The sequence below is a fragment of the Homo sapiens genome, chromosome 14 (assembly GCF_000001405.40).
Source record: "Homo sapiens chromosome 14, GRCh38.p14 Primary Assembly".
In the NCBI taxonomy this organism is placed as follows: Eukaryota; Metazoa; Chordata; class Mammalia; order Primates; family Hominidae; genus Homo; species Homo sapiens.
Genome location: NC_000014.9, coordinates 35,741,254 through 35,767,270, shown reverse-complemented (window position 1 = coordinate 35,767,270; position 26,017 = coordinate 35,741,254). Strand labels below are relative to the sequence as shown.

The following is a 26,017-nucleotide window of genomic DNA, read 5'->3' as shown; positions in this document are numbered from 1 at the left end:
GTATATTCAATAAAAATTATTAATGTATGGCAATTATGTGATCATTGAAGAACAAGAAAGGACTTGAATAAACAGAATTTTATGCAATATTCATAGGAAATAAACTTGATAGTATAAAGGCAATAATTTTTAAAAATTTTGCATGATATATTTATCTCTACTGTGTTAGAGAGACAGAGACTAACTTTTCATTTTCAAGGATTGATGAACAATCATCCATAAGTTCTTGAAGTTGAATAACAGGAAACTTTACTTGTTTTTCAAGCCATCTGGCTACTGTAAGAAGCTGCTAGTCACAAAATGCATGTCCAGTAAACGGCAGCCCTGTGGGCAACGCTTGGTTTGAGAGTGCAACAGGGTTACTCACTGCTGACAGTCCTGCCATGTTTACAGCCTGTGTAAAAATATCATCCTGGGCACTTCCTGTTCTGTGGTCTTCTTTGATGAATTCCAGGTATGGTACTGCCTTACTCAAGGTGGTGGGAGTTAGCATACTCCAGAGTTAAAAGCATTCACAAAATCATTAGCAATGAGGCATCTCACTTTCTGTGCTTTGATGAAATAATTTTCATATTTTTATTTTAACAAGAAAACATTTCCTGAGAGAATTCTTCCTCTTACAAAATCATTGAACCCTTCTCGTCTGGTTGCAGCATACATGGCTTCAGTAGATACATCAGTGTCACATCTGTGACCATATTGTAGCCCATCAGATCTTGCTATACTCGATGCTGCTTCTGATGTGCACAATAGATGGTAGCAGACAATTGAATAAGTAATGTGAGAAAAGGATACTTCAATTGCTTTGGCCCCCTCAGACTCAAAGAGGTCAGCAGCTTTGGACCAAAGAGACTGTACTTCACTTGATAATTCCAGTACAAGATATTCCTCTGGAATACCTATACATAGTTTGCTCACATTTGTCAAACTGGGAATCATGAATGGTTTAACAGGATCCTGTGCTGTGGTAGAATCCGTAGGGTCATGTTCAGCCAGTACACCCAAGACAATTGCTGCATCATCCACACATCTGGTTAAGATTCCTTGCACTTCCATCAAATCCTCCAGGGAAATGAGACCATGATGGGAAACTAAGCCATAGTTTGGTTTGAAACCAACAAGCCCACAGTAGGCAGCAGGATTTCTGGTCAGCCCTCCAGTATCTGATCCTAAAGCCGCATAGCATGTGAATGCCGATATGGCAACTGCACTCCCACCTGAGCTTCCTCCAGTTATCAGCCAGTCTGAATCTTCATTCTCAAAGTGGAGATTCTGCTTCCTCTTTTCTCTATATTGTTTTGAATAACTCCAGGGGTTTTTAACTGGTCCAAATACGCCTTCTGCATTTCCAGATCTCATAGCAAACTCATCTAAATTTGTTTTTCCATTAGTAGAGCTCCCTAATCCAACAATTTCGGAACTACTATAGCATTACCTTTCAGCATATTTGATGCACATGTAAGACAGTAATTTTTGGCTGGCTGTAGTGGCTCACGCCTGTAATCCCAGCCCTTTGAGAGGCCAAGGTGGGTGGATCACCTGAGCCCAGGAGTTTGAGACCAGCCTGGGTAACATGGCAGTACCCCAACTCTACAAAAAAATACAAAAATTAGCTGGGTGTGGTAGTGTGCACCTGTGTTCCCAGCTACTGGGGAGGTGAGAGGATAACTTGAGACCAAGAGGCCAAGGCTGCAGTAGGCCATGATTGTGCCACTGCACTCCAGCCTGGGTGACAGAGCAAGAACCTGTCTCAAACAAATAAATTTGTTAAGTATATATATAAATATCAATATCACACAATATTTATCAATATTAAATATATATACCATGTATATCAAATATATATCATATATATGTATGTACACACACATATAACAATTCTTAACATTCCTATAGGGATTTTTAAATGTAGCCTAACAAATATATCTTAAAGTTTATATGTAAAATAAAAGCCAAAGCAATTTGGAAGAATAACAAATCGGACCAAGAGGGTGGTGGTGTTGGCTATTTTCATGCCTGATAACAAGATAAATTATAAAGTTATACTAACAAAGGCACTGTTACTGATGTAGGGATGGACAAATGGATGAATGAAAAGGAACATGGAGATCAGCCAAAGACCTAAGCTTATGTATGGAAACTTGAAATATGATTGAGATGGCATTTTAGTTCATTTGAACATCATAAATCCCGAAATAGTACTACACTTGGTTTTCCATTTGTGAAAAAACAAATTCTGTTCCACCCACAAGGAAATAATTTTCTGATAGGTTTCAGGACCTACATGTGAAAAGCAACACATAACAACTTTTTGAAGTGAGTATTTGGTTTATAATTTTAATGTAAGGAAGGATTTCTTTAGACATACAAAGAACACATAAGAAAGAAAAACACTGGCAAATTGATTATATTAAAATTTAAGGCCAGGCATGGTGTCTTATGCCTGTAATCTCAGCACTTTGGGATGGGAGGCCAAGGTGGGCAGATCACTTGAGCTCAAGAGTTTGAGACCAGCCTGGGCAACATGACAAAACCCCATCTCTACAAAAAATACAAAAATTATCCAGGCATGGTGGCATGTGCCTTTAGTCCCAGCTATCTGGGGGCTGAGGCGAGAGGATTACTTGAGCTCAGGAGGTCAAGGCTACAATGAGCCATGATCATGCCACTGCACTCTAGCCTGGGTGACAGAGTGAGAACCTGTCTCAAAATGATAATAAATAAATAAATAAATAAATAAAACTTATCTGCATCAGAAGATACCACCTCCCCACCCAACAAAAACATGATTGAATTGTTTGGGATAATGTATTTTCAATTCATAGAAATAGACACAGAATTAGTAATACAGAAGGAACTCCATATATATATATGTATATAAAGAAGGCCAGGTGTAGTGGCCCACACGTGTAATCCCAGCACTTTGGGAGGCCAAGGTGGGAGGATCCTTGAGGCCAGGAGTTCCAGACCAGCCTTGGCAACATAATGAAGCCCTCTACAAAAATTACAAAAATTAGCCAGACCTGGTGGTGCACATCTGTAGTCCCAGCTACTCAGGAGGCTGAAGTGGGAGGATCACTTGAACCCAGGAGTTTGAGGCTGCAGTGATCTATGATTGCACCACTATTTTCCAGCCTGAACAACAGAACAAGACCCCATCTCTTTAAAAAAAAAAAAAAAGAACAACTAAATTGAAAATTGTGCAAAGGATAAAACAAGGAAACCTTGAATAGCCAAATTAAAAGATGTTCAGTGTCACTAGGAAATATCAAATGAAAGCAACATTAAGATAGTTAACATACATCAGATTATCAAATATTAGAGCATCTGTCAATGTTTTGTGCTGCCAACAATATGGTACTAGAGCCCTCCCATATACGGCTGGTAGTACTGTTAATTGTTACAACTACTTTGGAGAAAATTATCTAATATTTGGTAAAGCTGAAAGTAATTTTATTCCTCTCTCTCTCTCTCTCTATATATATATATATATACACACCCCGGGGAAACTCAGGTGTGTACAGGGAATCATGAACAATAACTATTTATTACGGTACTCTTGGAATAGCAAAAATTTGAAAAAAACCAAATGTCTTAATATAAAGACGATAAATAAATTTTGGTATGTTCATACGGTGGAATAGTATGCACCTCTTAAAATGTATTAACTAGAGCTACATAGATAAGTATAGATAAATTTCTTAAGCTAATGTTGGATGTGAAAAGTAACATATAAATAACTTTTTAAAAAAATAAATGAGTTATATGAAACAGTTTATATTATTTTTTATGGATTTATAAATGTGTAGTAATAATATAAAAATATTTTTTGAAATGATTAATACCAAAGCCTAGATAATGGTTTCCTCTGGGGAAGAAAGGAACAATATGATTTGGGCCTCAGTGATACCTGTACAGTTAAGTAAAACATTGGAGATAATGCAGGTAAGTGAAATAAACATGGAACTACGTGTAGATTTATTCATACTGAGTGGTGGTCCTCTGCAGGTTTGTTCATGTTATTTTCAGTATTTTATTATAGGTTTGAAATATTTCATAATTTAAAAGAAAAAAGGAAATATTAATGACTTTTCAAAACTTAGAAAATTAGTATAATGGAAATATTCATTAGGAAATATTACAGTTAAGGATGTTCATGTGGTTAACTAAATGAAAATTTTCTATAGTGGATTTCATTTGGATAGTGATAAAAGTATTTTATTTTATTCTTAGTCTAAATAAGAGATTTATAATAGATTGTTGTGTTAAATGCAATTTCGGGCCTAGGTTTTGTTAATAAAATAAATCATGTTTAATTGCAATAAAGCATGTGTTGAAAAGGTGATTCTTTTTATATGCCCTTCTGATCCCAAGTATGGCAGAAGGATATAAAGGTCACCAAGAATAATTTGGAGGTTGCCAAGGACTTATTTAAAAGTGTTTTCAAGTCCGACCGAGAACTCTGACATTTACAAATAGATAAGATGTGAATATTTAAAATCATATTTTCTTTTCAGGATTGATTTTAAAGAAGCTACTTCACACAGGAAACTCCTTAAAGGTACAACTATGTTTACTTTCCATGACTTTAAAAATACTGAGTAGAACATACATCCCACCTGTTAACACTTTTCCTACCTAAGCTTTTTCCTAAAGATCTCTGAATTGTCTTCAGTTTATTTAATTGAAGTGAGTTCCCTTAAAATGTAGCAAGAGGCTGGGTGCAGTGGCTCACGCCTGTAATCTCTGCACTTTGGGAGGCTGAGGTGGGTGGACCACTTGAAGCCAGGAGTTTGAGACCAGCCTGGCCAACATAGTGAAACCCTGTCTCTACTAAAAATACAAAAATTAGCCGGGCGTGGTGGCACGTGCCTGTACTCACAGCTACTTGGGCAGCTGAAGCAGGAGAATTGCTTGAACCCTGGAGGCAGAGGTTGCAGTGAGCTGAGATCAAGCCGATGCACTCCAGCCTGGGCGACAGAGTGAGACTGTATCTTAAAAACAAAAACAAAAACAAAAAAAAAACGTAGCAAGAGTTTGTTTGACAAACCATTCTAGGTTGACTGGGGACATTGAAAAAACTGTTGTACTTTGCCACTCAATGGACTCATTCACCAGCAATCTTTCCTCTTTATGGTCCCCAGAAGGAAAACATTGTTTAGTCATTCAACAGATTATTCTTCATTCCACCATAGCCACTATTAGATGTAGAGGGAAGTAGGGGAGATACACATATATATATAAACATTTTTGTTTCTTTTTCATTATGCCATTGTACTGTAGTAAGAGAAGCTGCCCATTCCGAAAATATCTTGCTGTAGGTTAGGTAAAGTAACATTATTACAGGTGCTTTTGGCATCATGGCTTGGGTATAAAAGTACAAAGGAATAAGCCTTCCTGTAGCTTTTCTCCTGTTATCTGGCTGAACCATGAAAGTAACAGCAGTTGAATACCTTTGACAGTGGCCATGAACAAGCTCTGGTAAGGTAATTTACAAAGCTATCAGTGAGGTTAGGTTAGTGGAAGACTAAGTGTTTTGCTTGTCAGAGATTGAATTTTCCTCTATTTCTCTTTTACTGTTTTTATGCTGAGAGAATGTTCATTAATCAGTTAAAATATTTATTGTCTTCTGTGTACAGGGTATTGTTTTAGATGCTTTAATAGAGTAGAACAAAGTTGGTATCTTGGAGCTTAGAATCAAATAATAAGTACATGAGATAATTGCAGAGAGGTTTTAAATAATTTTTATTTAAATTAAATCATTTTATTTTTAATAATTTAATTGTAACTTAATAATTTTAATAATTTCAGAACTTTTCAGGGGCAAGAACATTGAATTCGCAGTGTGCCAGGATCCCCATAACCATTCCTCCTTTTACCAAACTCATTCTCACCACTAACAGTCATTGCTCTCTCTCGCTTCTTGGTTTAGACTAGTGGTGATGGGAGGTAGGCAAGGAGGGAAGTAGACAAGAAGGAAAAGATTTTCTAATTTTTATAAATGGAACTTACAGAATAAAAATTACCTGATGGCTTTAAATAGAGAACAAGTTCATTCTATACTTGTTAAAAATCCATGCATTTGTATTTCTAAATAATGATTTCAATAGATGCTGTCTCTCTTCTCCTCAACTTCCCCTTCCTTCCCTACCCTGCCTCTCGAAAGTATCATTCTGTTGTCATCATCTAGAGAACTTTGTTTTTCAAAGGAAGAAAATATTTCCATTATAAATAAAAATACTGTCTATTTTCATTTTATTTTAGATTAGGCGGGAAGGTGTTCGTCTTTTCTTACTATGGTTGCAAGCTCTTCAGAATAACTGTAGCAAAGAACAGCTCTGGATGTTTTCATGCTTAATCCCTGGATTTTCAGCACCACAGTCTGAACATGGACCTCGAACTTTAGATAATCTCATTAATCCTCCACTCAACCTTCAAGAAAGTAAGATTCATGGGATGTTATCCGTCAGTAGGTTTAAGCTCTCTATGTAGTCTCTTAGTGTATTTTTTCAAATGTCTGTGCATTCATTAACTGGGTAATCCAAGGCAATGCTTTAAAACATAGCTTTTATTATTATTCAGGTATGGTGAAGTCAGCAGATCAAGAAAGCTGTTGAAATAATAGTTTGTTACTCACAGTTCCCAAGAGGAAGGGGCATGCCATGCCACAAGGGCTATGTGGGGGAAGCACCAGAGTTGGTCAGGAGGCAGAGAGAACAGGGGAAAACATGGGCAAGAGTCTTTATTATGGTTTCTATGGGAAGAAACAGGCAACCCAGATTAAGCAAGTTTAGGATTAGCTAGTTTGAATAATTCCAGTGGGCTGTAGATTGTTAAGAGTTGTCCCTAGTTGTCTGGTACCCAGCCCCTTTGTAATTAGGACAGAGGAGCAGTCACCCTGAATGTGAGTGTGGAGGAGGTGGTAGCGGTGTGGGCTCTGGACTGGTTGGTTTGAATATGAAAGGCATGCTCACAGGCTAGTCACTTACTGTCTCTAGGAACTGGCTAGCCCTGGGAAGGACATATTCACTCTAGAGTCAGTAAAGCCCCAGAGGTATAAGCATCAAAAACCTATGGTTAATACAGATCATTTAACATTTTTCATTAATTATTACATATCACCTTGTATCCTGGAGTTAATTTGGATGTACATTGAAGTACAAGTGTGTTTTATTTTGTCCATTAGATGACTGTGAAAATGTTATATGTAAATTGAATTTTTATAAATTTTCATAAATAGTACTGCTATTTAAAAATGTATAATTTCAGTAATGTTTAATTTTTGCTTTCATTCATTAGTGAGTCTTTGTGGTTTACCTTAACTTTTTCTAATATTCCTTTCTTTTTTTTTTTTTTTTTGAGATAGAATCTCACTCTGTCACCCAGGCTGGAGTGCAGTGGCATGGCCTTGGCTCACTGCAACCTCTGCCTCCTGGGTTCAAGCAATTCTTCTGCCTCAGCCTCCCGAGTAGCTGGGACTACAGGTGTGTGCCACCATGCCCAGCTAATTTTTTTGTATTTTTAGTAGAGACAGGGTTTCGCCATGTTGGCCAAGCTGGTCTCGAACTCCTGACCTCAAGTGATTGGTCCGCCTCGGACTCCCAAAGTGCTGGGATTACAGACATGAGCCACTACACCCGACCAGATTTTTCTAACATTCACTTTTTTTTTTTTTTTTACTTCTTTAATTCTCATCTTCGTGTACGAATCCTGTTATTTAAATAAGTTAAAGTTATTTCTTTATTCTTTCATGAGCAAACATTGTCATATACAGTGCTACATTAGTCAGCCAAGGCTGCAATAACCAGACTGGGTGGCTTAATTAACAGCCAATTGGGCCCATTCACATGATCTCATGTAACTTTACCTCCTTAAAGGCCCTCTCTCCAAGTGCAACCACACTGGGGGTTAGGTTTTCAACATATGAATTTTCAGGGTACATAGTTCAATCCAGAGCAAGTACTCTGTTAGGTACTACCTCTTATTTATAATTTTTATTTCTATAAATTTAGGTTTTGTGGTAAAGCAAAACTATGTTTGTAGAACAAAATTTTAGAAACAGTACCAAGCTGGCATAAAATGTATTAATGAACCAGTTCAAATAGGCTACATATGCATGCTTATTTACATTATGTGTTATTTTGAAGTTTTTTGTTTTGTTGCGTTTTGTTTTTGAGTGAGACAGGGTCCTGCTTTGTTGCCTATGCTGTAGCGCAGTCCCATGATCAGCTCACTGTGACCTCAAACTCTTGGGCTCAAGTCAGTAGCTGGGACTACAGGCACATGCCACTCACCACACCTGGCTAATTTTAAAATTTTTTGTAGAGATGGGGTCTTGCTATGTTGCCTGGCTGGTCTTAAACTCCTAAAGTCAAGCAGTCCTCCCACCTTAACCTCCCAAAATGTTGGGATCACAGGTGTCAGCCACTATGTCTGGTCTACTTAACAGATGTTCTATAAGCATTTTTTTTCTCTGCCTCTCATTATAGAGAGGTTTTCTTTCATCACTCTTTTTTAAGAGATAAGGTCTCAAAGCTATGTTGCCCAGATTAGAGTGCAGTGGCTATTCACAGGTGCGATCATAATGCACTGTAGCCTTGAACTCTTGGGCTCAAACAATCCTCCAGCCTCAGCCTTCCCAAGTAGCTGGGACTGCAGATGCACACCACCACACCAACTCTTTTATCAGTGTTTTTGTGGATGACTTTAAAAATAATTATTATTTATTTTAAATATATTTGTGACTGACTTCTGCCCCTTCTCTTTTTAAGAATAGAAGTTTTGCTTTTTAGTCTGTAAGATGTGGAAAATATGGAGTCTCTGTATACTCCCCGGCAGAGACTAAGACGTCTTTATGGGAACAGTGGATTTTAAGGGGGTTTTTATAGCTTCACAAAATAAAGCTTTCATAAAGTGTGTTCTTCTGTATGATGACAGTGGTCCAGGAAGTCCAGAGTACAGATGATAAAGTTTGTATTTTCTTACTTCTTTTCTTTTCGGTTTGTTTTTTTTTTTTTTTTTTTTTTTGAGACAGAGTCTTGCTCTGTCGCCCAGGCTGGAGTGCAGTGGTGCGATCTCGGCTCACTGCAACCTCCACCACCCAGTTCAAGCGATTCTCGTGCTCCAAAGTAGCTGAGATTACAGGCGTGTGCCACCACGCCAGGCTAAATTTTTTGTATTTTTAGTAGAGATGGGGTTTTACCATGTTGGCCAAGGCTGATCTCAAACTCCTGACCTCAGATGATCCACTCGCCTCGGCCTCCCAAAGTGTTGGGATTATAGGCGTGAGCCACTGCGCCCAGCCTAAAGTTTGTATTTTTAAAGAATAATTTTTAAAATACTTTTTAGAATAATTTAAAGAATAATTTTTAAAATGAGTGGCAGAATAACATACCATGTATTATTTAAAAACTGAAATCTACCTCTGTTGTGAGCTTGTTGGTTGATATTTATTGGGAGTCAGGTTTAGGGACCTACATATGTTTACCAGGTACTAATTGTTCAGCTTAGGAAATATTTAAGAGAATTCAGCTAGTTGTGGGTTGACTTTCTTGCATTTGCATTTGTTATAATGAATTTTTCTGAACATCTGAAAAGTAAACAATATAGAACTTTCTTATTTTGTAAGTGTTAACAGATTGGTACTTTGATAAATAAGTGCATTATTACTAATGTTTGTCATCTTATGGAATTTTTGTAATGGGCAGTTTTCATGTGAATTTGAAATTACCAGAAGTTCTTTCTCAACTGAGATGTTACATACTTGTAATCACTGTGTTATTTGTCTGTCCATCCCTTTGTCACATTCTCTCAATCAAGGGTTCACAGAACAGCTGATTGTTAAAATTTGTGGCCAGGCACGGTGGCTCACACCTGTAATCCTAGCACTTTGGGAGGCCGAGGCGGGCAGATCACCTGAGATCAGGAATTTGAGACCAGCCTGGCCAACATGGTGAAACCCCGTCTACTAAAAATACAAAAATTAGCTGGGCATGGTGGCAGGAGCCTGTAATCCCAGCTACTTGGGAAGCTGAGGCAGGAGAATTGCTTGAACCTGGGAGGCGGAGGTTGCAGTGAGCCGAGATCGTGCCATTCATTGCACTCCAGCCAGGGTAACAGAGTGAGACTCCGTCTCAAAAAAAAAAAAAAAATAATAATAATAATAATAAATAAATAAATAAAATTTATTTTTGTGATCAACTATCAGGGATGATCTTAAGATTTATTTCAAGGATCAGTCATTAGAAAGTTTTCAAGCAATTTTCATTGCATACTCATTTTGCAGTTAAAGTTTATTTGGTTATATTATTGTTTTATTAAATTTGTTTTGTAACTATATACTATTCTTTTGTCTTTGGATAGCTCAAGTCACTATAGAAGAAATCACTCCTCTTGTCCCCCCACAATCAGGAGATAAAGGGCAAGAAGATCTCACAAGCTATTTTCTTGAAGCACTTCTAAAATACATAGTCATTCAGGTACTTGTTATCTTCTTTGATATCACACTCCTTACTATCCTATGTGGGTGATTCCCTTTTCTGTCTCTTACCATTATTCTGTCATAGTAGATATTTGCTTATTTTCTTTTTGTCAGGGAGGTTGGAGGGGAAGGGTCAATGGCTTGCTTTTAATTAGCTTTAGCTTTTAAGCTTTTACAAGTGTAATCAACCAAGTGATGGTGGTAGGGGATATTTCCTACACTTCTCATGTAAACTCAAGTTTTAGATTCTTCTTTGGAGTAAAAATAGACTCTTCACTCTTTAGAAGGGTATCCCTTAGTTAAAAAAATTCCCTCTTCGTGTTTTTTCCCTGTATCCCTCTATTCATCCTTGGCTGCCACAATAAAAAAGACAGAAAGTACAAGGACATGTTTTTCTTGCATCTGTAGTGGAAACCTTAGCAGCAGACAGGAACTGCTCCAGGTCTGTCACATAGTAGATGCATATAGTTGCTTATTTTCTCGAAGAAGAAGTGACAAATTTTTGCTATTGAAAATATGTTAATATCTCTTTCTCAAATCACTGGAGGGATGATGACACTCTTAGGAATCTAGAGAGGGACAATTTTGTAGACTCTTTGCGTATACCTTCTTATGTGAGACAGTTGTGCTTATTTTCTAATCCTTTCATTTGTGATCAGCAGTTGTGATACTTCAAATGAAAAGCTGAAAATTGTTTGATTTAGGAATCAATCTGCCAATATGTAACAACTAGGGAGGTAGGCTGCAGGATAATGATTAGGAGAAATGTAATTTACACTTAAACCTGTTTGTACCTTTTGAATTTCTAGGTGCATGTATTTTGCAAGGTAACCTATTCACCTTTAGATATAAAATGTGCATACCCTGATTGACTGATGAAAACGCTTTTATTCACACATTTCTTATAATGGCTCCAAACACAAAAATTCCTCATACCTCAGAAACAAACATTATAAAGTTAATTTGGACCCTAAACTAGATTGCCAGAGTTTGAACCCTGATTCCACATTTTACTAATAGTGTGGCTATTGGCAAATTACTTAATAACCACTTAGTGTTTCTGTGTCCTTATTTGTGAAATAGAGATAAAAATAATACCATTTTGGTGTATGAGGCCTAAATAGTGCACAGTGCTTAGAATAAAATAATGCATAGCATGCCATAAGTGTTCTGTAGTGGGCAGGTGTTATGATCATCATTGTTATTACTAATTTTTCTTTAAAAATACTTTTGTACTTCATATAGATTTTAAAGATTGCTTTACTGATTTATTGAGCTATAATTGATACACAATAAACTGCAATATTTGAAATTTACAGTTTAATGAATTTTATTATGTGTATACATCCATGAAACCTTTACAATTAAGATAATGTATATATTTATCACCTCTAGGCATTTTCTTGGATCTTTGTTTGCTTTGTTTTTTTGTTTGTTTGAGACAAGGTCTTGCTCTGTAACCCAGGCTGGAGTACAGTGGCCCAGTTATGGCTTACGGCAGCCTCAACCTCCTGGGCCCAAGTGATCCTGACACCTCAACCTCCCAAGTAGCTGGGACTACAGACCACTGAGCCTGGCGAACTAAAACTTTTTTTTTTTTTGTTAGAGAGAGATAAGGTCTCACTGTGTTGCCCAGGCTGGTCTCAAACTCCTGAGCTCAAGTGATCCTCCCACCTTGGCCTCCCAAAATGCTGTGATTATAGGCGTGAGCCACCATGCCCCTTGGATCCCTTTGTAATTCATCCCCTTGAATTCTCACACCACCATTTTATCTTTAGACATCCATTGATCTGTTTTTTGTCATTATAGAATAGTTTGTTTTCCATAGTTTTATGTAAATATAATCATAGGGTACATAGTTTTTTTGGTCTTGCTTTGTTTTCTGTTTGATTATTTTGAGAATTGTCTATCTTCTTGTATGTGTCAGCAGTTTGCTCCTTTTATAGCATTCCATTGTAGGGGATGCACCAGTTTATTCAGTTATTTGTTTATGGTTATTTGAATGGTCTCTAATTTTTGGCTATTTAAAGTAAAACTGCTGTGAATATTGGTAAACAAGTTTTTGTGTGGACATAATAACAGTAGAATGGCTGGGTCAAATAGTAGGGGTATATATTGACTATTTAAGAAACTACCAAGCTGTTTTCCAAATGACTGTACCTTTTTACATTCCACCAGCAATATGTAAGACTTATACAATTGCTTCACATCCTCACCAACAGTTGGTACGGTCAATTTGTAATTTTAGCCATTCTAGTGAATGTGTAGTGGTATCTCATTATGATTTTAATTTGTATTTCCCTAACAGCTAATGGTATGTTGAATATCTTTTTATGTGCTTATTTTTCATCCATATATCTTGGGTGAAGTGTCTGTTCACTTTTTTTGCCCATTTTTAAATTGGCTTGTCTTATTAAGTTTAAGCTTTTTATATGTTTTAGAAAGAAGTCCTTAGTCAGATGTATGTTTTGCAAATATTTTCTCCCAGTAGCTCGTCTTTCCGTTTTCATAGCAGTCTTTTTAGAAGCTTTTTATTTTGATGAAGTCCACTATACCACTTTTTTAATGGATCTGACTTTTGGAATTGTTTCTAATCTTTGCCTAATCAAATGTCACAAAGATATTCTCCTACGTTTTGTTCTTGAAGTTTTATAGTTTTATGTTTTACATTAAGGTCTGTGGTCCATTTTAAGCTAATTCTGATGTATGAGCAATGTTGACTTTAATCCTTTGATTAAGGTAGCGTCTGCCAGGCTTTTCCAGTGTAATATCAGTAAGTATTACACTGGAAAATCAACAAGTATTTTGTGGGGAAGTACTGTGTAACTACCTAAATATCCCCTTTCTTACAGAAATTTCACATGTTTTAGGATCCATTGAAGGCTTTTGACTTTGTAATTACGCGGGTTACCAAATGGTAATTTTTAAAAAACAGCTTTATTGAGATATGATGCACATTTTATATAGTTCACTCACTTAAAACGTACAGTTCAGTGTGTTTTAAGTGTATTCACAGGGTTACACAGCCATCACAGTATAATTTTAGTGCTAATAAGAAACCTCATACCCATTAGGAGTCAGTCCTCTTACCCTCAACCCTTTCATCCCCACCCCTATGGCAAACATGAATTGATTTTCTGTCTCTATATATTTGCCTATTCTGGACATTTCATGTTAATAGGATCATACAATATGTAGTCTTTATTGACTAGCTTCTTTTACTTAGCAAATGTTTTCAAGGTGTATCCATGTTGTAGCACGTATCGATACTTCATTTTTATTGCGGTGAATAATATTATATTGTATACATATACAGTATTTTGTTTATCTCTTCATCAGCCGATGAGTATTTGAGTTGTTTCTACTTTTTGGCCAACTGGTGATATTAATTCCATCATTACTTCTACATTCAAGAGTTGGCTACATACTGTAGGAAAAAGCTTTCTCCCCTCCCCATTTGTTTACTTACTTATTTATCTCAAGACGGATTTATGCATTCCTGTGAATTCATGTGTTAATGTTTACTACAGTTACCAATTTTGATGCTCAGGTTGTCCTAAATTTGTCTAGTGGAAGTTCCTTCAAGCTGAATCCTATGCCTTTGAATTGTTTCCGTCATTGTCTAAGCACTTCCTTACTTCCTGGCACCACAAGATGTTCCAAGCTCATCTCGTACCTTCCTTGTCCACTCTGGAATCTGCTGCTTCTCTAAGGAGCTGTCATTCATTTTAATGAAGAATTGTATTCACAGACACAGACACACACAAATCCATGTTTCTGCCTGTCTGTCTGTTTATCTATCTATCTTAATGTTAATTCATACCCATTTTCCAGATTTTAGTCTAGTACCACAGGGTTCATTCTGGTTTCTTCCTTTCCATATTTATAACTCTTACCTGTCAATGAGAAATGTGGCTCATATTATTCTTAGTATATATACTTATTTAATCAGTCCCCCTTGTGTATAATCAATCTCCCGTTGCCACCATTGCCCTCCTCTGCAGACATTCTCCTTAACTTGATTGGGTTCCAGTACCCCACTCTGGGCCTTTGCCAACCACCTGCTTGGATGTCTTCGTCACCTTCTTAGAGTTCTCATACCCTATATTATACTGCTGTATCTCTTTCTGTCCTCACTTCTTCCACTTCATGGACACCCTCCTCACTCCTCTCAGACTGTGAGTCACCACTGGGTTACTGTACCCCCTTTATGGATGCCCTGCGTCCTGTGTCAGGCTCTGATCGTCTGCACTTGACTGCTGCTACTGCTTACATACACACACCCCTGCCACATATGCTTATGTATTTTGTATGGTTTTTTAGGCTGAATTATTCAGGAAGGGGCAAAAGGGAAAGAACTTTAATATTTTTGTCATTAGTAGGGCCACTTTTGTGTAATTTTCATAGTCTTTTGAAGCATACTTCTAAGGTTTTTTAAACATATACATAATGTACTTGTTTGACATTAGACCAATTTAAAAGATTTGTCCTTATGCTATGTATCATGATCTTTAGTGTTAACAGTTCAGTGTATTGCAACCTTTTACAAGCTTGTTTATAATTGCTAATACTTGCATTTAAGAGATTCTTTCTTCTGGAATGATTCTAATTATATAATTTATTTTTAGGTAAAAAGTTTAGAATGGAAGAACAAAGAAAACCAAGAAAGGGGATTTTCATTTTTGTTTTCACATTTTAAGAAATATTACTTGCCTTATATTTTTCCAAACATCTGTAAGGAAAACAGTTTATATCATCCTATACTTGGTAGGTAATGTTTGAAATTTTCTGAAAGATCACACTTAAGAGTAAAATAATCTCTTACTGTAAAGTTGGCATTTGTTACTGCAGGAAACTGATCATATTTAATACTTGTATTGGTTGGTATAGATATGATACCTAGATTCATACTGAAAGCAAATTTATATTAATAGGAAATTTTCAATGAGGATGAGTTTTTCTTTTTTTGTTTTTTTTTGTTGTTGTTGTTGTTGTTGTTTTTTTTAAGAGACAGGGACTCACTCTGTCACCCAGGAGGCTGGAGTGCAATGGCATAATTATAGCTCACTGCAGCCTTGAACTGCTGAGCTCAGGCAGTCCTCCCATCTCAGCCTCCCCAGTAGCTAGGACAACAGTCATGCACCACCACATCTGGCTAATTATTTTTTTTTTAGAGATGGGATCTCCCTATGTTGCCCAGGCTGGTCTTGAACTCCTGGCTTCAAGTGATCCTCCTGCCTTAGCCTCCCAAAGTGCTGGGATTATAAGCATGAGCCACCACACCCAGCCAACAATGAACAGATTTTTAAAAACACTTGTTCTCTGGATCTTATCAATTATAAAAGTTAGCCCACCAGAAATATTTGCGATTGTAAATTAAACTGAATTCTTGTTTGGCATGATCCTTAGACTATATTATAAATTTTCTTTTTAAGGTCCCCCCATATGGGGGTTCAATCAAGTGTTAGTCTTATTCAAATTCTGTGTGAATAATTACATAGCCATGTTTCATCCAGTATTTATATAGATTGGTGCAAAAGTAATGGCAGTTTTTGCAATTACTTTTAATAATTATTGTGCCAACATATCTCTTGGAACCTTGAGCCTAGAGCCTTGTGTACAAATCCTGGGTTAGAAGCATATCTCTGCCATATATAGAAGGTATTGGTAGTCCGTAGGTAAATTGTCTCTTTCCCAGAAAGATGTTCCTAATACCAAGTTTAGGCAACTAACAGGCTCAGGTAAAACCTCATATTTTGTATGACTTCAAACTATGTGTTTCAGTGGTAGGTTAATTGAAGTGTGAGCTCTTATTTATTTTAAATGGTTCTGGAAGCTTCTTTGTACTTAGGTAGGTTCACTGAACTTTTTGATATTTTGTAAAAATACATGTTTCCACATATCATCCTGGTATATATGGTTCACTCTTCTGAGTTCCATGCAAACATCTGGCAAATTTTGAAATGTCATTTCTGTGCTAAAGCTACTTCTGAAACCAGAGTAGCATAACAATATTTTCTCAAGTATTTAAAAATGTAGGTTTTTTCTAAACATAATTTCTTTCTTATTTTGGTTTTCATCTTCCTTTTATTTTGCACAGACATCCCGCAGATGAGACCAAAGCCACATTATGTCGTGATAAAGAAAGATGCTGAAACCAATGAAGCAATCTATTGTACAAAGGAGCCTTTCATTAAGGCTCGTGTTATTGTCATTCGTTGGCTGGTTTCTTTCTGGCTGGAGCCAAAACCACATACAGGACCTCATATTCCTGGGATGGAAGGTGAAGTCTTGCCAAAGAATATTCAGGTAATGCACAAATGAGGCAGGCCTGTTAAAGTTAGAAATGGCTTTTGAGATTTAGTCCATTGAGTTCAGTTGCCTTAGGTGGAGCGTACACTTAAATAATAGTGCTATTTTATTTGTATAAATATATTTTGTAAATGCAAATTTTAATTATAGAATTAATAAGTTTCTTAATAAAGAAATGAAACGGGAAGTATAGAAGATAATTTCATTAGTATGTCAGTCTCAGCTTCTTATTTCTGTATTTTAATTATACAATACTAAAAATATTCTTTATTGTACAGATAAATCTTACAAGTGAAAAGAACTGTGATCAAATGGTAGAACCTTGATGGCCCTTTTTAATTTGGGGGCATTCACAAAATGCAGATTAAAAGACCTGTTCACACCCCCTTCCCCCCTTTTTCAACAAAGACGCCAAGTCTAGAAATGTGATATAAAATTACAAAGCAATACAGTAGAGGAACTAATATTTCAAACTGTTGTTTTGGATTTAACAGTTTACTTTTTTCCCTCATACTTCTTTTTTATCTTCTATTTTCCCTCGTACATTTTTCTAAACATGTCTATATTACAGTATTTTTACTACTTTTATTTTCCTCTCCTCAGATTTTCTTAGTTTTTAAAATCTTAAACTATGTGTGTTTTTTCTATAACACCTTAAATCTTTTATAAGTAGGATAAAGGTATAACGTGTGTTTAGTTCATCAGAATTCAGAAAATTTGACTTTTATTCCTCTTAGTTTATTTATCTTTAGCAAACTGTATTGTGTGTCTTCCTCCAAAACTTTGCTCTAACTTCTGTATTAAGAACTATTAAGTGCGAAAATTCTCAAGCAGAACTATCTGCTTTCTGATCCTAGAATGTAATGGATGAAAATCATAAATGTTTTTGGTTGGAAAGGTATATTTGAGGTCATTTATTTAAGCTCTGTTATTTTATGGATGACAAAACTGAGGCCAAAAATTGAATAACTTAACAGAAAGTAATTTATACCACAGAATAGTGCTACTTTTACCATATAGTAATTTGCTTATCACCACCTTAAGACTTAATTTTTCCCTATCTGGTTAGGCTTGATCTTCAGACTTGGTGAAAATTCCATTATTAGAATTATAGAATTTTCTCTCAAGTTTTCTAATATTTTCTGTTAGTTTTGTTCCTACTTCTGTCATAAATTTTGTTCCTTTGTTTTTTGTTTTGTTTAGGAAACTTTTACTTGTCTAAATTTTTGTCCACAGTAAAATAGAGATAATTTTAAACATTAAGTTTTTATTAGGTAAACATTCTGATGTTAAGTTATTTACTTATTCTTGAAGGTCTGAGCTGTCTCTAATTCCATTATTCATCCACCCAGCTTTGATTAATAACTTGTTTGAACTGCAAACTTACTGAGAAGAATATATAACTATAGGTGGGTAGATGATTAATTACCACACATTTTGGAGTATCTGTCACTTAGATGTTGAGTTACTTGCATTGCCACTTAATTATTTAGAATGGCTTTTAAATGAAACTCTATGCCCGGAGTTTAAGCAGTGGTATAAATTACTTGGGAAATGTTTTGGATTTTGTCAGTATTACCTATTAAAAGACAAAATACATAGTTAAATGATTATGATATTGTTTCTCTCTTTTTTTTTTTTTTTTGTATTTTAGAGAGCAGCTGCTAGTTTAGTATCCAGAGAAGAAAGCAAAAATGATAATGCTGATAAAACAGACAGAACTACAGAACCCGAACAGTCTCATTCCAATACAAGCACTCTCACGGAGCGAGAACCTAGCTCATCTAGTCTCTGTAGTATTGATGAAGAACATCTCACAGACATTGAAATAGTTCGCAGAGTTTTTTCTTCTAAAAGGAGTAATGTAAACTTTGTGACAGAGATATTTCGTCAGGTAACATACCTCTCAGTATTTTTAATTTATAAGGAAGGCTTTTATCTTTAATATTAAACATACTGATTTTTAGCTGGGAACAGTGGTGTGTACCTTTAGTTGTAGTTGTTCAGGAGGCTGAGGTGGGAGAATCGCTTGAGCCCAGGAGTTTGAGGCCACTTTGGACAACATGGAGAGACCGCATCTCTTAAAAAAAAAAAAAAAAAGAGCGAGAGAGAGAAATTACTGATTATTAGCTATTTAAAATATATTCTTCATGTAGATTTTTAAACTAATTTAAGTAATTCTTAGTAGTAATTCTTAGTTTAAGAATTTTAAACTAAGTAATTATTAAACTAAGTTTATACTTAGTTTATATAATTTACATCTAATCCTCTAGTATTTTCTATTCTTTATATATTTTAGTTTGTGATACTTTTAGCGTAATAATTATTTTCCCCTTATACTCCTGTTACTAGAATAATTTTTTAAATTACTCATTATAGATTGAAACTCTTCTATCATTTGATTAATAAACTATGGTAAAATTATTTTATCTTCCACTCTATCATCAGTAAATGGTTTATGATATAAGAAGGGAGGTTTTTATTGCTTTTACCCTCAAGGCTTAGTTTTGTCCTCTAAGGCATTCTGAAGTCAAAGTTGATTAAGACAGATATTTCTTAAGGAAAGTATAGAAAAAAAAAAGGGAAAATAAAAGAACAAAAAGCTATTTCACATGAAACAGCTGGAAATCCCTAAGTGCATGTTCTCAAATATGTAGAAATTTTGTGGAAGAGAAACCTTATGAAAACTACTATTTGCTCTTGATGGCAAAGGCACTTAACTTTTACAGGTAAACAACATTGAGTTTTGCAGCTGAGGGGGATCATTCAGGTGTCTCAGCAAGTAAGTGGTAGATCTTCAAATAAAATGCCCACATCCTGGTTCCCATGTCAGTGCTCTTTATTCAGTGCCACACTGCATTCACATTCCAGGGAGCTCTCTAGGCAAAGCAAATAATCTTGATCTCCACACATACTTATTGATGTGTAAAACAAAGCATGAGACAGCATTAGCCTTGTCAGCCTAAGTTAAAGAAACAAACTCATTTTCATTTTTGTCCAGTGTTGGCAGTGGTTCCAGCCAGATTTAAGGTTTGTGTTTACAGAATATGTAACAATTGGGAAAGGAAAGACATTTGACAAATTATGTTGGAATACTCATGGGGAATTTTAAAGCTTGTAGAACTATTCAGGCTTTCCAGTTGTTGAGTCAGTTTAAATAAGTTTATTTTTCTAGGCATTTCTTCTTGTGTTTGTTTTCAAATTTGTTGACAAAGCTTATCACATCCTCTTATAATCCTTTTAACCTCTGAAGCATTTATAGTCATGTTTCTCCTTTTCATTCCCATAAATGCAGTATTTAATTGCCTGGTGATTTTTAAATTTTTTTTGTAGAGTGGGGTCTTGCTCTGTTGTCCAGGCTGGTCTTGAACTCCTGGCCTCAAGCAATCCTCCTGCCTTGGGCCTCCCAAAGTGCTGGGATTATAGACATGAGCCACTGTGCCTGGCCCTATCCCTTGTTTGTTTTTCTCTCTTTCTTTTTTTCTTTTTTTTAATGATGATTCTTGCCAGAGATTTGTCAGTTTTATTAGTCTTTTCTTTCTGTCTTTTTCTATCTTTTCCCCCCAGCCCCCATTCCTTTTCCTTTAGTGGTTATCGTATAAGTTTTAACATGTATACTTCACTTTTCAAGTTCTAAAGTTATTTTTTTACCCTCTTCCTAATCAATACAAGGACCTTAGAACCCTACTAGTCTGATTTTCCCCCCAACATATATATTACTATCAAGTAATTTAGTTCTATTTTTTGTGTTGGTGTGTATTTGTTATATATTTGCCACTTTATTTTATCATGATTTCTTCCCTTTCAGATCTTCTATTTAGAATCACTTTCCTCTGCTTGAAGTTCGTCATTTAGAAATTACTTTAGTGGATGTATGTTGGTATCAAACACTTCTAATTTTATGGGGTTTTCCCAACTTTATTGAGGTATACCCGACAAATAAAAATTCTATATATTTAAGGTGTACATTGTGATGTTTTGATATACCTGTACATTGCGGATGATTACTACAATCAATCTGGTTAACATAATCATGGCCTTACATAGATAAAATTTCATTTGCTTGCATATGGTAAGAACACTTATGATAAAATCTTCTAGCAAATTTCAAGTGTAAAATATGGGATTATTAACTATAGTCACCATGCTAGATATCCAGAACCTGTTCATCCCACATAACTGAACCTTTGTACATTTTGATCAGCATCTCCCATTTTGCCTGCTGCTCAGCCCTTAGTCACTACCATTCTACTCTGTTTTTATAAGTTTGATTTTTTATATTGCAAATTTAAGTGAGATTATACAGTAAGTTGTCTTTCTGTGTCTAGTTTATTTCACTTAGAATAATGTCTGCTGGATTAATCCATGTTGTTGCAAATGTGGGATTTCCCTCTTTTTGTTTTTTTGAAACAGGGCCTCACTCCATTTCCCAGGCTGGAGTACAGTGGTGTGATCACAACTCACTGCTCAACTGATACCTATGCCTCAGCCTCCTGAGTAGCTGGGACTACAGGTGCACACCACCATGCCTACCTAATTTTTAAAAGTTATTTTGTAGAGAGGGGTTCTCGCTATAATATTGCCCAGGCTGGTCTCTAAGTCCTTGCCTAAAGCCATCCTCTCTCGTCGGCCTCCCAGCGTGCTGGGATTGAAGGCATGAGCCACTGTGCCTGGCCCTAGGATTTTCTGCCTTTTTTTTTTTTTTTTTTTTTTTTGAGATGGAGTCTCGTGCTGTCACCCAGGCTGGAGTACAGTGGCACTATCTCGGCTCACTGCAGACTCTGCCTCCCGGGTTCAAGTAGTTCTTCTGCCTCAGCCTCTTGGGTAGCTGGGATTACAGGCATGCGCCACCATGCCCAGCTAATTTTTGTATTTTTGGTAGAGATGGGGTTTCACCATGTTGATCAGGCTGGTCTCGAACTCCTGACCTCGTGATCTGCCCGCCTCAACCTCTCAAAGTGTTGGGATTACAGGCATGAGCCACTGTGCCCGGCCAGATTTTCTGCTTTTTAAAGGCTGGATAATACTGTGTGTGTGTGTGTGTGTGTGTGTGTGTCTGTCTGTGTGTCTGTGTATGTGTATTTCTGGCTGTCTGTTCCATTGCTCTATATGTCTGTTTTTTATGCTGGTACCATACTGTTTTGATTACTGTTTAGTAATGTATTTTGAAATCAAGACATGTGGGTACCTCCTGCTTTGTTCTCCTTGTCAAGATTATTCCAGGTCTTTTGTTGCTTCTTCATAGACGAATTAACTGCTGATTTATGAACTTGAATATTCTGATTTCTTTGACAGTTAGTTCTCATTGTAAATTGATAAATTATCACTCTGGTTTTATACATCAGTTTTTAGCTATGGCTAATAACAGTCTTTCCTCACAATTCATATTTAGCATGTTGGCAAAATCATATTTTGGAACCTGCAAGGACATAGGTCTCTGGTCTATAGTAAATTCAAGCTGCTAGGTTGTAGTCTGACAACTTGTGTAATATTTTAGCTCTGGATGATATTAATTTTTTAAGATTATTAAATTTTATTTTTCAGTGTTTTAGATTGACAGCAAAATTGAGTGGGAAGTACATACTAATTTTTCTGTATCTTAGAATTTCTTTGGGATCATTTTAACTATTTTAATGTTTTAAATTTTATTGTGAATCTTTTTAAGGAAGGCTGAGCTGTTGCTACAACTGTAAAATAAATATTCTTAAAGCAGGCAGTGATGATCAAAATCTTGCCATTTGACCATTAAGCTGCTAGAATATGAGAGTGATAATTTAGGAATGAGTTGATTAAAGAAAATAACAAAGTAGTTTACTAAGGAATTAATAATAGCAAATAAAAGGTTTAACAAACAACAATAAATATTCTGTTGATATTGCACCTTAACTTTCCATCATCATCTTGGGAGCTGACTTTTTTGCTGATTTCATTCCGATAAGATAAGTTCATTTGACCACGTGATTATTATTTAATACATCTACTGATAACTCTATAATAGAAAGTGGCAGATTTTAGATAAAGGGTTTGTGATTTTTAAGGTTGATATTAACAGGTAGTATCATAAAAAAATAAAAAGTAAAAGCAATTTAATTCTTTTTTTTTTTTTTGAGATGGAGTCTTGTTCTTGTTGCCCAGGCTGGAGTGCAGTGGCGTGATCTCAGCTTACCGCAACTTCCATCTCTCGGGTTCAAGCGATTCTCCTGCCTCAGCCTCTCAAGTAGCTGGTATTACAGGCATGCGCCACCACACCCGGCTAATTTTGTATTTTTAGTAGAGACGGACTTTCTCCATGTTGGTCAGGCTGGTCTTGAACTCCCGCCCTCAGGTGATCTGCCAGCCTTGGCTTCCCAAAGTGCTAGGATTACAGGCGTGAGCCACCGCGCCCGGCAGCAATTTAATTCTATTTGCACCTAAAAAGTAAAGTAAAAATATTAACCCATAAACACAAACACACACAAGGAAAAGACTTTGGGTGATGAGATTAAGCGTATTTTTGCTGTTTTATTTTTCCCTGTCTGGATTGTGTAAATTTTTTTTCTATGAAAATGTGTATTTGTGATAAGGAAAATATTTTTTTTAAGATCCCAGAAAATACTGGAAGAAAAGAATAACAATGAGATTTTTCTTTTAAATTTTGCCTTATTGTTAAACTATAGAACTTGATTATACATAAAATGAAATATGCAAGCCTTAATTTTTTTCTTTGTATGCTTAGAAAAGGTGAGGTACCTTATTACATATGATTTTTATTAGTTTCTGGAGGCAAATTTAATTTTTATTTTAAAATCAAAATCTATTTTAAAAGAAATAGTTCTCAAAAAGACAATGATGACTGGGTGTGGTGGTGTGTGCCTGTAGTTCAAGCTACTCAGGAGACAGAGGCAGGAGAACCACTTGAGGCCAGTTCAGTCTAGCCTGGGTAACATAGCAAGACCCTGTCCCTAAAATAATAAAAAATTTAAAAACCACAATAATGTGAGTTACAAAAAAGTGTAACTTATGAAAAGTCGTATTTATATTGACCTTTGTAAGAGCTCAATTATTTCAGGAAGCAAGGAATATCACCATTCTGAGTAATACAATTTCAACTAATCTTTATTTCTTCTACTTGAAGTCAGTGCCTATCTACCACAAACATTCCTATATCAGTGTGCAAATTAATTTGGAGACAATAGGCTTTTTACGACAATGAATTGGTTAACTTTTAAAAGTTGTTTTTTATCTCACATTTTATAATACGATAAATAAATGTACAGCAGATCTTTAAGAACATTGTTTAACTATAATGTTGATGGCAAAAAAAAAAAATAGATTCCCAGCAGGGGCCACTGTCTGTGTGGAGTTTGCATGGTCTCCCCATGTCTATGTGGGTTTTCTCTAGGTACTACAGTTTCTTCCCATATCCCAAAACTGTACACATTAGGTGAATTGGTGTGTCTAAATGGTCTCAGTCCGGGTGAGTGTTGGGGTGTATGTGATTGCACCCCACAATGGAATGGCATCCTGTCCAGGACTGGGTTCCTGTCTTGCCCCTGAGCTGCTGGGATACACTGGCCACCAGTGACCCTGAATTAGAATATTTGGGTAATTAATTGTCTTACTTATTTTTATTAATCTTTCTTAAGTGTACATATAGCTCACATTTATTTCAGTGTTTAATATTGTAAGTGTTGTGGTCTCTATTTAGAAGTTTGGTGATTTTTTTTTTTTTTTTTACTAGAAATATACCTTAGGAACTTAACTCTTATTTATATCAATTAGCTTATGGCAAAATGAGTTTTGTTTTATGTCATTGTTTTGCTTAAAGTTGCAGTTTCCAAGAATCTATGATGTGATGTGAAAAACATTACTGCGTTAGTGGTTTGTGGCAAAGGAAAAAGTATCATTATCTTGATTCTCCTTTTTTTCCCTAGGCATTTTTATTACCAATTTGTGAAGCAGCAGCTATGAGAAAAGTGGTAAAAGTATATCAAGAATGGATCCAACAAGAGGAAAAACCTTTGTTCATGCAAGAGCCTGAAGAAATTGTGATCACTTCTTCAGACCTCCCTTGCATTGAAAATGTCACAGACCATGATATTTCAATGGAAGAAGGAGAAAAAAGAGAAGAGGTGAAGTTATAAGATTTATATATTTTAGTGTTAGTCTAATAGATTAAGAGTTTTGCAGAAACATAATAATGGGTTAACACAAATATACTTATTAAATGGGAAGATAAAGATATCTTTCAGTATATTTTGCAACAATTTAGGTAATATAAGTAGTCATCTCAGTACCGTATAGCAAAGCCCTGTGATACCACAACTTTTAAAAATTAGTATTGAGGTTGTATACTGATTCTTTAAGCCATTGTCTAGATAAAAATTAGGTACTGTTATAAAGGTATAATATTTCAAACTGTGGTACTACATCAAAATGGATTTTAAAATACATACTTTCAGGGGGTTGTTATTACCAAACCACAGTTCCTCCTTTCCTGGAAGGAGTAACTATTTAGGAGTGGCTACCCAGCATAAGCTACAGTGTTTGTGCCCCCTCCTTGGAATCTTTTGCACTAGAGCTGATTTCAGAATGTGAAACTTCTTGACTTGGTAAAATAAGTTATTCTGTGATAAGAAAGACTAGAGTTTACTCACAGCAGGGAAAAGATGAGAAAAGAGAGAGTAGTAGAGGTGGCATTTGGGTTCCTGGGGTTCCATTTATTCCTTTGATTGTTCAACCTTTGTCACAGGTCAGACTCTCCAACAGCAGATGCTAAGATGGAGTTAGGAGTGCAGAAAGTTTATTGAAAGTGATTTATCTGTTTTGTCTGATTTGCCTTTCACCATAAAGTTGTCTGCGATTGATACATATCTTGCTAAATCTAGATAGGAATGATTGAGTAATGCTTATTCACTTTAGTGGTTAATCTAACCTCATCAGTGGAATTTAGTCAGGATACTAATGTGTGGATGAATAGGCCAGTTCTGTAGGGATTTGATGAGCCTGAGCGTGTGTGTGTGTGTGTGTATACGTGTATATGTATATATACACACAAACATAGAGCACCCTCCCCCCTTCTAAGAAAGGGAAAAATGTAACTGAGAAATATAATTGAAGTAAATAAAATTAACCATATGAATTATGAAATAATATCTACAGTCCTAATTCTTACACACCAATGAAAAATATCAAATTTATTGATATTTTTATGCTGGAAAATAAACCTATGAGTTTAAAAAGAAT

The 26,017-nt window shown here is 35.8% G+C and overlaps 1 protein-coding gene, 1 non-coding gene and 2 pseudogenes across 22 annotated transcripts in view; 2 read left to right on the top strand and 2 right to left on the bottom strand.

Moving 5' to 3' along the window:
- Positions 1-26,017, top strand: part of RALGAPA1 (Ral GTPase activating protein catalytic subunit alpha 1) — a 270,940-nt gene that overhangs the window by 42,025 nt on the left and 202,898 nt on the right. For all 21 annotated transcript variants that reach the window (XR_007063998.1, NM_194301.4, NM_001346246.2 and 18 more), the window contains exons 5-11: positions 4,518-4,561; positions 6,265-6,442; positions 10,363-10,478; positions 15,109-15,247; positions 16,581-16,789; positions 18,447-18,686; positions 24,706-24,903. Coding sequence is in view for 20 of the 21 variants with exons in the window: in NM_194301.4 (NP_919277.2) it covers positions 4,518-4,561; positions 6,265-6,442; positions 10,363-10,478; positions 15,109-15,247; positions 16,581-16,789; positions 18,447-18,686; positions 24,706-24,903 (1,124 nt within the window). In the remaining variant the exon portion in view is untranslated. The remainder of the gene's footprint in view (positions 1-4,517; positions 4,562-6,264; positions 6,443-10,362; positions 10,479-15,108; positions 15,248-16,580; positions 16,790-18,446; positions 18,687-24,705; positions 24,904-26,017) is intronic.
- QRSL1P3 (QRSL1 pseudogene 3) lies at positions 116-1,460 on the bottom strand (annotated as a pseudogene).
- Positions 4,340-4,471, top strand: SNORA101B (small nucleolar RNA, H/ACA box 101B). Its single transcript, NR_135620.2, has one exon. It is a non-coding gene; the product is annotated as a small nucleolar RNA, H/ACA box 101B (small nucleolar RNA).
- On the bottom strand, positions 10,808-10,944 carry LOC124900348 (uncharacterized; annotated as a pseudogene).